The 12,932-nt window shown below is 35.7% G+C and overlaps 1 long non-coding RNA gene across 1 annotated transcript, besides 1 other annotated feature; it reads left to right on the top strand.

Annotated features, from left to right (window-relative positions):
- Nucleotides 8,085–9,284: an enhancer, noted in NCBI's record as "CDK7 strongly-dependent group 2 enhancer chr13:34594074-34595273 (GRCh37/hg19 assembly coordinates)". NCBI's record gives its function as "activates an origin of replication core promoter dependent on BRD2, BRD4, P300/CBP, MED14 and CDK7 cofactors, with strong dependence on CDK7, by STARR-seq in HCT116 cells {active_cell/tissue: HCT116}" and the evidence as "EXISTENCE:reporter gene assay evidence [ECO:0000049][PMID:35650434]".
- Nucleotides 10,223–12,023, top strand: LOC107984589 (uncharacterized). Its single transcript, XR_001749817.2, has 2 exons — nucleotides 10,223–10,305; nucleotides 11,765–12,023. It is a non-coding gene; the product is annotated as an uncharacterized LOC107984589 (long non-coding RNA).
- Nucleotides 12,024–12,932: the final 909 nt, after the last annotated feature.

Genomic DNA, 12,932 nt, shown 5'->3' with positions numbered 1-12,932 from the left:
TTGCAGGTGGGCTTCCTGGGCTGTTTATTGTAGATGTCGATACTGGGGTTGTTTTTCTGAGCAGCTTGCTGCAGCTTGTGGCCCTGAGTTCTACTTTTTTATGTGGTCCGACCATTGTCCATCTGTATATTCAGTCTTTCACTTCTCAGGGAGGCATTCTCTGACAAGCTCACCTAAAATGCCAACTCTCCCCCACTCCCTTCCTTTGTGTTTATCTTTAATATGAGTCACTATCTATATACCTCATATTTTTTTATTTATCTTATTTATTGTATGCCTCTCCTTCTAGAATATAAACTACTTGAGAAAGGGAATTGGGGCTCTTTTAAAAATTATTGTATTCTAATACCTAGACCAGGTCTATCTGGCCTATTATAGAAAGTCAATGACTACTGCTGAAAAGAGCAATGCAATATTTATTAAGAATCTATTATTAAGGAGGAGCTATACTAGTTAATAACTTTACCATGGAGAAATCTGACAGTCACCATGTTAACCAAGTGATCAAGATTAATGTCACCAGGAATGAGTCATATTGATATTATGTACACCTTGATATTAAGTGATGAGATCACCACATCTTTTCTGTAGTTTTCTTCCCCCAAACCTATAGCTATGATCTAATTATTAGAAAAACATTCTTTGGGAGGCTAAGGTGGGTGGATCACGAGGTCAGGAGATCGAGACCTTCCTGGCTAACACAGTGAAACCCCGTCTCTACTAAAAAAAAAAATACAAAAAATTAGCCGGGTGTGGTGGTGGGTGCCTGCAGTCCCAGCTACTTGGGAGGCTGAGGCAGGAGAATGGCGTGAACCTGGGAGGCGGAGCTTGCAGTAAGCTGAGATCACGCCACTGCACTCTAGCCTGGGCAACAGAGCAAGACTCCATCTCAAAAAAAAAAGAAAAGAAAAGAGAAGAAAAACATTAAACAAATCCAAATTGTGGCACTTTCTGCAAAATACCTAGCCAGTCCATCCAGTACTCTTCAGAAGTATCAAAGTCATGGAAGACAAGGAAAGACAGAGAAAGTATCACAGATTGGAGAAGACAGTTAAATGCAATGTGGTGTCCTGGGTTAGATTTTGTAAAAGAAAAATGACACAGTTTTTCCATGGAACACTGATGAAGTCCAAACAAAATCTATATAATATTGGTTAATAATATATTGTTGGTTAATAATATATTGTATTAGTGTTAATTTCTTACTGTTGATCACTGCATCATGGTTATGTAAGATATGAATGTCAGGAAAAGCTGAAAGAATGGTATATAGAAACTGTACTAATTTTGCAATATTCTATAAATCTAAAATTATTTCAAAATGTAAGATTTTTTAATTAAAAATATTTGAATGAGAGAAAAGGAGTTACATTAGGAACTGGTAGGGGTATTTCAACTCCACAGAACCATTCCAAATGCCTTTATTAAACATCACAATGCACTGAGCATTGTTGAAAATGCTAGTGATGGAATATCAAATAAAATTAAGGGCCTGACTTACGGTCAGGTAGAAAGGACACTATATGCTAAAGTTGCTATGATGGGCCACTGGGCAAGAAAAGGCAGAGGCAGAGAGTTTAATTGTATGGAGACAATTGTGTACAAGTAGGGTCAGTATCAGGAGATGCTTCTTAAAGAAGGTGATGCTTGGGCTGATTCATAAGAGATGAGTGTTTACCTCATGAGGAGGAGCTTGATTGGATGAAGGGAGATGGAAGAGCATGGAGGACAGTACAGAAGCCCAGAGGTAGGCAAGACAACTTCACCCAGGAAGCATATAAAAGTGAGTGCAGAATACCTCTGACACAGCAATGTCCTCCACCAAGCTGCACTGACTTCGGAAGACATATTTTCTGTTTGTTACACAACTTTAAAACTGATATTTTAGTCTTTTTTAATTTTGAATTAAACCAATATACTTGAATCTCATCTTTAAAGACAGACATGTGTCTAAAAGAATTCCAGTTACTCTTATATTTTGAAGTGTTTGTTCATAATTTAAAACTAGCTCATAATTTAAATCCTTATTGTGTTCAGATGGTATTTAATTTTTTGAACGACATTACTGAGGGGTTATTTAGGAAACTTTCCATTGCCAAGAGAGTGAAGTGATATATTTTCTCGAATGGCATTTTTGAATGTGTGGAGTGAGTATAAATTTTGCTGGTTTGTGGTCCCTGGAGCTACTGAAATGTGGTCTGAAGTGTATTGTAAGTATATATTTTAATTTTTTTGTATAATGTCATATTGTGACATCCTGAAAACCCTTTCTGGCTGAGGAGAGACTGCCCTTCTTGGGACTAGCCAATTTTTAAAGATAACAAATAACCTAGCCAGGAGTATGTCTTTGATATACAAACTAATCAATCTAGAGCCATACCTCCTCTATCTGGTTTATCCACCCCAGGAGGCAATATTCCTCTCACGTGATCATCCCAGAGCCAGGTGCCAGGCAACCACAGACCACTGCTATAGCTCAAAGCCCACCAGAACCACCCGAATTATTCAAATGAGCCAATCCTAGTCTGTTTGCCCTGCCACAACTTGCATTTCTTTCAGAAACTGAAAACTGTGGCCTATACCTTCCCCTTGCTCCTATTTTCTGCATCCTGAGCACCATGGTGTTTTTCCCATGTGGCTGTGTCTGGTACATGCTGTGCCTCTTGTTTAGTGGGGAACTGCATTAAAAACCTTCTTTCAATGGAATTAGGCTCACCATGCTGTCACTCAGTCACCCTAATACACTAAGACTTGGGCCCAATAAGTAGAGATCATTTATAAATCTCAATGGGATATAGACAACATTTTAACCAACTGAGTTTAATTCTGTTCATTGTTTTTGATTGTTATGGAATGCCAACTGATGCAATGAGAGTAGGCAATTATATCCCTAGTGATGAGGACTGTGAGAGGTGTGAGTTGAGTTAACCCCAGCCTGGTTTGAGACAGGTCAGGTGAGCCATCACCTAACAGGAGAGTGAAATGCTGGCCGCAAGGTGTATGGATCCTTTCTAGACCTGGGTAGGGGCAGTGTGGGGAAGCAGAAACACTTGAACCAAGTGTCACAGAAGCCCTTCCTCTCCTGCTGCCCCATAGATGAGAAATGTTCTGTCAGTTTGTGCACTGCTGATTTGTATATAAGGAGGTCCCCTAATAGTATCAGAACTTCCTGTTTCCTTTGGCTGGAGCATTTGGGGCAATAAAGAAAAATTCTTGAGACAAAAATGGAAGGCCACAGGAATTTCTGCTTCTATAGCCTGGTGATTTATTTGCTTTTGTTCTCCTTTGTATATCTCTGAGTCATCTGATCTCTGACGATTAGAAAGGACATGGGGGCTGGGCATGGTGGCTCATGCTTATAATCCCAACACTTTGGAAAGCCAAGCTGGGTGGATGCCTTGAGCCTAGGACTTGGAGACCAGCCTGGACAACATGGTGAAACCCCATCTCTACTAAAAATACAAAGAATCAGCTGGGTGTGATAGGGCACAACTGTAATTCCAGCTACTTGGGAGGCTAAGGTGGGAGAATCACCTGAGCCTGGGAAATCAAGGCTGCAGTGAGCCATGATTGCACCACTGCACCCCAGCCTGGGCAACAGGAGTGAGACCCTGCACCCCCGCCCCACCAAAAAGAAAGAAATATAAAAGGACCTGGGGGAGTCTTAACTTGTACCTGTATGCATTCTTTCATCCCACATTAATTCATATCCTTCATCAATATCTCAAGTGCTGCAATGATGGCTATAAATGATCAAGAAAGCAAAAAAAGCCCCTATTGACCTAGAATTTTCTGTAAGTGTCCAGCTAGATTATTATAAATTATGTATCTTTTCATCACTGGCCTTTTCCTTTGATATTTTACTGAAAATTGGCCTGAGGCTTCAAATCATTTTGTACTGGTTTGAAAAAAAATTTCAAGTAATTAGTTGCAGTTTACCATCTATCAACTGCCATCCCCACTCAAAACAATTCCTCCTGCCCCACAGCCACTCCAATGGACAATGTCTTTCTCTTGGACCAGATGAGTTCTGAAATCCAATCTAGTGTAGCCATTGATTCATTTGGATAGAGAAGACAAGATTGAGAAACAGTAAGTTAAAATTCCTGATTGGTGGAAAATTGTTTATAAATATATCAGTGCTTTATTATATTTGTTTAACAGTGGCATACTTAGCATTTTTACAGATTTCTTGAAGTACAATCAACATAGAGTAGACTGCACACATTTAAAGTATACAATTTGATAAGTTTGATATGTATATACACACACCCGTAATCCGTCGCCTCCAAAGTTCCCTTATTCCTCTTTATAATCCCCGCCTCCCACCACTTTCCGCCCACTCCTAATCCCAGGCAACCACTGACCTGTGTTCTGTAACTATAGTTTAATTTACATTCTCTAGAATTTCATTTACATAGAATATATGCAGCATCTGCTCTTTTCTGATGGCTTCTTTTAGCATAATTATTTGGAAATTAAGCCAGGTTGTTTTGTGTATCATTCCAACAGTATCCCAGTATACAGATGTATCACAATTTGTTTCTGTTCTGTTTCTATGGTATTGTTTGATTCATCGCTTTAGAAAAAGGGCCAGAATTGAAGTAATTCAAGTTCTGTTTATTTATTTGCATCTTCATAATCCCCATCCTACTATTGTTTATGTAGAACACATGGTTTAAATGCAGGGACACTAATAAATACAGGGGTTGTACCAAAGCAAGCGTAAAGGATTCAGAGCCATTGTAGGTTAACATGTGTCACTGAGGCTGCAAGGTAAAGACTCTCTGTAAAACAGAAGTTCTCCCAATTAACTTCTACATAGAACACAAGGTTTATTTAAGGCTAAAAAATAAAATGGGCTAATTTGAACTGTGTGTGTGTGTGTGTGTCTGTGTGTACACGCATGTATGTATCCACAAGTAACTATAGCAATTGTCTGGAACTTAAACCAACAAAAGCTATTTGGAGGGGGAACATCTTATATCTGACATTATTTAGAATTGCCAACCCATGGTGATAATAAAAAGGAAGCTGATTTTTAGTCAGTTTGTTTTTTCTTGTTTTAAAATTCTCTACAGGAAACACACCCCCTTATTACCTGCTTCTGAGGTACAGTACTTCCACAAATCTATTCTCAGTAATAAATCATATACTGTTTATTATTTATGAATTATGATACATTTATGGTTTTTAAACATACAATATACTAATAATATCAATATGAATCATTTAAAATTTCCAATATTCCACATTTTTTACATACCAATTGGCATTGTCATGTTTAAACCTAATATATTTATAACTAGTCATACTATAATAGTGATTATAATGGTAAATTTTATTACTGTTATTCAGTAGGACTAACAAAGCTCATCTGTAATGGTCTTATTATCTAAAGGTATAAACCAGAACACGTAACTGCCTTCCTGTATGCCTCAGTGTCCTCAACAAAAGAGAAAGAAAGCCAGAAGAAAAGAAAGAGAGAGAGAGAGAGAGAGAGAGAACAAGAATGAGGTAGATATCATTTCTTCCATCAATTTGCATTGCTGTCATCACAATGAAAATGTGCTGGTCTTTCATTTACATTTTTGTTGAGTGTCTTATTCAATGAAAAGACTTTCAAATATGTGTAAACTAGAGTTTCTCACAAAAGGTGTTAAAATGTAGATTTTCATAGACATGAAATAAGAAAAGCTTTCTAGCTTCATTAATAGATGTAACTATAATTGCACATTGCCATTGGAATAAGAGGCAAAGTTAGCATCATTCTGACAAGACCAAGGATCTGAACAAATCCATAAAGAGAGACTAATGTGACCTAGCCACAAACCAGACATCTAACTCAGCTGGTCAGTTAGTCTACTGGTGTGTGCTGCCTTGATAAATGTTTCCCATCCCAGTGTCTCTCAAATCTGGATTAGATGCACTGCTACATACTCACATAGCATCCTCTATTTTCACTCCTAGAATAAAATTATACAATTGTATTGCAAAACCCTACTTATTTGTTTTCTTTCTCCAGTAAATATCAAGAATTATCTTCATTCATCAATGTATCTCTGATGCAATACCTACCATGTAGCAGAGCTCAAAACATTCTTGTTAAAGAGAAAAATAAGTGTCTAACTTTTCACGAAAACAACTGAGCAGATGGTTTGCTATAACCCTTTTCCATGCAGGAAAGGATTTAAAGTGCTTGACTGACTAACAGTGGCTCAGTAATATCATCTTTAAGTCTAAAATAACATACATCACCAATCAGGAGTGCTTAAATCACATCCTACCAAACACTGTCATCAACGATAAATTTTTTTAAGGTCATTTCTTTATTGAACTATATCTAGTTTGCTGAAGAAAAAAAAACAATATTGGAGGGAAAACAGATAGAAGGCAAGCTTTCTTTTTTCTTTTATAATTAACCATGAAGAGACGCATTTGTTTGCCCAAGCATTCTAAATATTGCCTACATGGTTTTTGGAATATTTTATTTTTCCTTTGAAATCATTTTTAAAAAGAAAAGCATTGCTTCTGAGAGTTACGAAATCTCAAAGGCAGTTACAAATTCATTTATCACTTTAGTGCAGGAAGATAAACAAGGGTATAGAGCAAAGACACTCCATTATGCTGTAGCAGAGCTACATTTTAGCTTTGGCTTTGACTTTACTTGAGGATCCTGTGCTAATAGAAACATTGATCTTATTTCCAACATTGCTTTCCAGCATTCTCCTAAGATGCAAATGCCTCTTCAGCTTTTGTATTTGTCTCTAGGCATGGAGAATTAAATCCACCTTGTGGTTATGCATAAACATCACTGCCTATTGGATGCTTTTCTTGATCACCATGCTGATCACACTTCACAGCAGACAGCCAATCATAGCCCTCCTCAAAGTGTGCTGTAATTGTTTATATGTTTGAATAAGTGGACTGTAATATGTGTGAGGTTTCCTTCAACTCACATAGAATTTTCATAAACTTGCCTGGATAGAATCAGCTCACAAGAAAATGAATTAGAGTCTTAAAAGCAGGAAATAAATCCAATAGCCTAAAGTAGTTTCTACATATTTCTTCTGCCCTTTCAAAGAGAACTTAAAAGAATTCAATCTATCTTTTTTATATTAGGTCAATCTAATCTCTTTTAATTGAATTCAAGATAATTCAACCTAACTCTCTCCATTTACTATTATACTTCTGTTAGACAATTTTCCTCATGTACTTATTTGTTCCTTTAACACATTCTACTTACAGTCTTCCTTTAACCCACTTAAAAAAGATACTAATACAAATATACTACAGCCAGACTATCAAGAAGCTTGAAGCACAGTGGAGAGGACATGCACAAAAACTGCAGTACAAACAGCCTGTACAAGTAGACACTTAGACACAGGGTGTTCCACAAACCTGGAGGAAAGCACAGAAATCTTGCAGATTGTGGGTTGGCTAGTTATGCTTGCCAGGGAAATCTTCCAAGAGGAGCTAATGCTTGAGCTGTATCTAAAGGCTGAGTAGGGATTTTCTGTCTGGATAAGGTAGGAAGGGGAATACAGACAAAGAGTATCACATAGGAGGTCTTGGAGAGCAGAGTATGCTTTGAAAACAGGTGAAGTATGTGTCAGGAAAAGTTTGGAAGTTACTTAACGTGTAACTGGGGACAAAAGCATGAAGGGCCTTGTATCCCTGCTGGGTAGTTTTGAACTTGATCTTATGGGGAATCGATGGTCAATGCAATATTTAAGCACAACTGGGACATATTCAATTTGCATCTTAGAATGATCACTTTAACATAAACATATAGCAATGTTTTGCAAAGAAAATTTCTAGGGAACTTTGTATATTAAAAGTCATGACTTAAAATTATTTCTGGTCAAATAAACTTTGGAAATGATAGGTTAAGCATACTTAACAATTTTTAAGACTTCTCAAAAATCTTTAACTTCCCTATCTTTGTTTTGTTTCTCCAAGAAAAAGAACATGTAACTTTTCCCAAGCCCATTTCATGAAGAAATCTTTGGATTTTTCTCTCACCAAATATCTCATGGGATTAAGGTTCCAAGTAGACACCTTGGAAAATGCAGGTGTATAGGATAAATTGGGGAGTTTCAATGAAGTCAATGAGATCACTTACAAGAATATTATATGAGTTCTATCAGGAGATTAACAGTAGTAAGAGATTAGCAGTGGTAAGGGCATGGAAAAGACAAACCAAATGAAGTTCGGTTATAGGAATGGCAAGAAAGGCCACAATGGTCCCAGGCTTGGTTTGGTGAATCACTTTGATCCCTGAGGTACTAACTTCTTAGAGTCTCAGAACTTAACCTGCTGGAACTTTGTTAGAAGGGGCTACTTTAATCCTAACTATAACATCTCCCTTCTTTTTAACATAAGGAAATCGAGTTCCCAATATGACTGATCAGGATCAAGAATCATCAGCTCTCCACGCTTTTCATATTTTCCCTGGAGAAGAGCCAGGATGTGAATATTTATAAACACTGAATAATCACCAAACAAGGTATGTTTGTCTTTGGATTATATTTCTTTGCTGGTATTTGAATAGAGCTCCATGTGACATTTAGGGAATTGATGATGCTCTAATAAAACTAATGAAGTCCACTGTCAAGACTTGCTCTGAAGGAGCTGGAAAGCTGCCTAGCATTTTTATCCTGTCCAGCTGAGTTCCTTCTCACTTCCTGCTCTGCGTTGGGGAGAGAGAGTAGCACCTTCCAGGCAAGGCTGCCTGAGTTCGCACTGGGCACAATGCTTTTTCTCAGTTCAGTCTATGAGGCACATAACATATTTTGGGAAGGGGATCAAGGGATAATTATGTATTTTGGCTTTAGTAGAATTGTACCATGGCTATGCAATTATTCCTTCAAGTGGCCACTTTTAGGAATATTGGGTGCTAAATGATTGCATATTATTATAGTTTCTATTGTAAATATGTATATGAAAGGGCATTTAAAATCCAGTAGCAAACCACTAGTAAATTTCTGTGATTTTAGTTGAAATGATACACAATCTTTCTTTTTGAGCACAGTGGACACAGAAGGAATATTTTTCGGTGCTCTTCTTCCTGCTCCAAAGAGCCGCATCAACAGACCCATGTCAGTGCTCTTACTCACTGGCCGAATGGGACTTTGATCCTGCCACAGTTAAGATCAAAGGGTTGAGATGCCTTTGAAACGACTCTCCAGTCATAAATTCCACATTTGAAATATCTTGATGTCATAGTCTCCCGGCTGTTCTCTCTGCTCTGTGTTTTCTGGTAGCTTTCAATTTCCTCTGACAAAAATATTATTTTGCATAGTGTATCCCGGGCATTTTCATTCATTGGTGGCAGTTTCTGAAGGGTGTTAATTGGAATACAAGCCACTTTCCTTGGCTGTTAAAAATTACTCAAAGTCAAAGACAATCAACTTACTCTATTCTCATGCATTTTCCATTCTGGTAAAAATGTTTATGACTTGCTTTTACTCAAGATTAATAAGAAGGCAAGGGAACTATCATTGAGACACACCCGATTCACTTAAGGATCTGCAATCTTCATACTAAAGGACTTAATTTGGTTTCTCATTGGGAAGGAAGAAAGGGAGGGAGGGAGAAAAGAAAGGACTGTCTGTAAATATTGAGAAAGGAAGTATAAGAACTAAGAAGCAAAAACATTCTAGGAAACAGCCCTTGTACACTAGGAAAAACATTTCACATTGTTATTCCATAAACCTTGAATCACTTATTTTTAGTCAATACATTATTAAAATGAATATCTTCCCTACTTAGAAAAAATGCTTTTTTAAAAAAACTACCAATTTTTTATCAAGAAAGGTAAAATCTTTAATTATTTTGAAATGTTTTACTTCATTTTCTGGATGATCATGGCTATACCTAAAAAAGAAACTGAAGCAAATAGGTGAATATTTTCAAAATTTAGCTGTTAATTAAATGGTTACACTTAGGAATGCTTCTCAGCTCCATAGGTTAAACTTATTCTGGAGTCATTGACAAAAAGTGTGTGTTTCATGACTGAACATTATTCAATACCTGGATTAAATACAGCCTGTCTATAAAAATTTTCCAAATTCCTAATCTACAGAGGGAAAATTGTGCCTGACCTATTTTGGGTTTATATTCCACCTGGGAGTATCCATAGATAAATACACAGATAGATATATAGATAGCATTAATTATACTTCTTGCAAAACTGAAATGAATGTCTATATCTATAGGAAACTACCTCTAGATGTTCCACAATGACAGGAATGAATCATTCCTACTTCTATCCCCTGTGCCTAAACAGAGCCTAGTACCATAGTAAGTACTATATGTGATAGGTCATTTACTTTTTAAACATATAGTGAAATAAATGATTAGATATATTTGGTATGATCACAACTGTAAAGTTATCTTTTTATAAATTTTTGTCATAAATTTATAATTTTTACATTAAAAATATTACTACATATATTACTACATATATTAGTCAATATATTAACACATCTATTAGTCAATACATTACTACATATATTAGTCAATATATTTATACATATATTGAATGTATTAGTCCTCTTTATTTTATGTCTGTTTTCCATCTAGATCCATATAGGGAGAATACATCTTCCTTGAAGGATCTTTCTATGACTATGACATCAAGATATTTCAAAGTTTTATCTCCATTAGCATGGAAAAACTGAATTATCTTTCATCTCCTAAAATACAACACTTACAAATATTCTGAACTATTTTGGACACCTTAACAAAATGAATACAAATTCTGAGCACATAAAATGGTGAACTATTTTCAAATCCAAGCTTTTAAACTTTCAAAGTGTTGAGCTTCTCTCTCATTTCTTGCTTGAAATAGACTTTAAGAAGGCAGAGTTGTTGGAACAATTAGAAATATTTTTACAATATCAAGGTGTGATATGAATTAAAATTGTTATGCCAAAGAAGCTCCTGAACTGTTTTCCTCTCTTTACATATAGAGAAAATGAGAATCATTTTCTAAAAGCAAAAGAAAATGATGATATCAGGAAAAGACCTGAGAGATTAAGAGACACAGAATAGCTAGATAAATGTAAGAAAAACTTGGTAAAGATGCTATGAACTGTACTAAGTAATACACTAGCACTAACCTCATGTGACATTGAACACTTAAAACAATGTTGTCCAATCTGAGCTGGACAACAAGTATAAAAATACACATTAGATTCTAAAGATGTAGTGCAAAACAATGTAAAATATTTTATTAACAATTATATTACACTGAAACGGTAATATTTTGGATATATTGGATTAAATGACATATATCTTTTAAAGAACCATAGAAATATATTTTGTAAATTAAAGGAAAGATGATGTACTTACATGTTAAAATATATATGTATTATTACAATTAATTTCATATATTTCTTTTTCTTCTTTTTAGTGTGGTAATCAGAAAATTTCAAGCTATATGTATAACTCACGCTGTAGTTCCTTTAAACAGCACCACTGTATAGAATCATTTTTTCTTTTCTAACTTTTATTTAGTTTAAATTGGTCTTTAATTAAATGGACTTCAGCTTTTAAGCAGCACAGAGCCTTGATATTTTTAAATGCCTTTCTATTATAATATCCTCTGGATACATTATAAGAAGCACATTTTAAAATTTATTGATGGGTTTGCAAGACAGCATATAAAACACCTACAAGGAGGAAAAAAAAAGAAAAAGAAGCTGAAAGCAAATGAGTGAGTAATAACCTCCTAACTTGAATCTGTTTCTGTCCTCAGGGCAAGAGGAGAGCTTGGGAGATGAGCCATTTCAGGAGGGCTGGGGTGAAACCAAGCCCTGGTGCCACTCAGAGTGGAGAAGCTGGAGGTGAGAAGTGCACCGGGTCGGGAGCCACGAAGCTGACTATACTACTGTGAAAAAAATAGGCCAGGAAAAAACCTACCTCCCAGAAAGAAAGACCCTTCAAGGAAAACGTATTCTCCCCATATGGTTCCAGAGGGAAAACGGACATACAATAAAGAGGACTAATACATTCAATATATGTATTAATATATTGACTAATATATGTGGTTAGGTATTGACTAATAGATGTGTTAATATATTGACTAATATATGTATTAATATATGTAGTAATATTTTTAATGTAAAAATTATAAATTTATAACAAAAATGTATAAAAAAATTGGTATAAATAAGCCATATTGGGAATTTTTAAAAAGAGGACTTAATTACAGAGGTAGCAGAGATTATAAAATTCAGAAAGAATACTGTGAACAACTATGTATCATTAAATTTTAAAATTCAATTAAAAGATCAGAGGCCTAGCAGGAATAACTTACCAAATCAGGCTCAAAAAGAAGTAAAAAGCCTGAAGAATCTTATAATAATTAGATAAATTAAGTCAGTAGTTTAAAACCTTCCCACAAGGAAAGCATCAAGCTGTGAGTCCTTCCCACCTTTTAAGAAATGAATTATTCTAATATTTTACATATTCTTTTAGGGAATTATGAAAAAGGAATTCTTTGTAAGTCATTTTATGAGATTATATTAACCTTGATCTCAAAACCTGGCAAAGACAGTATGAGAAAGGAAAGTTATGATACAATCTCACTCATTAATCTGTATGTGAAAATTCTAAACAAACTGTTAGCAAATCCAGCAATAAATTTTTCAAAACAAAATCCTCATCAAGTTGAGTTAATGCCAAGACTACATATCCTACAATTTCACTTATATGAAACTCTAGAAAAAGGCAAAACTGGAGTGACAGAAACGGATCAGAGGTCAGCAGGGGTCAGTTATCTCGGAAAAGAATCCGTTGCAAGGAACACAGAAACATTTCAGGATGTGGGTACCCTGTTTATGGGAGACTTTTCTTGTACACACACAAAAAAAACTCCTTTACAGAAAGAGACCTAGAGGAAAGATGGAAAGGGCTGCTGCTTG

This window comes from Homo sapiens, chromosome 13 (assembly GCF_000001405.40).
Source record: "Homo sapiens chromosome 13, GRCh38.p14 Primary Assembly".
NCBI lineage: Eukaryota > Metazoa > Chordata > Mammalia > Primates > Hominidae > Homo > Homo sapiens.
This window is presented reverse-complemented; position numbering and strand designations above follow the sequence as displayed.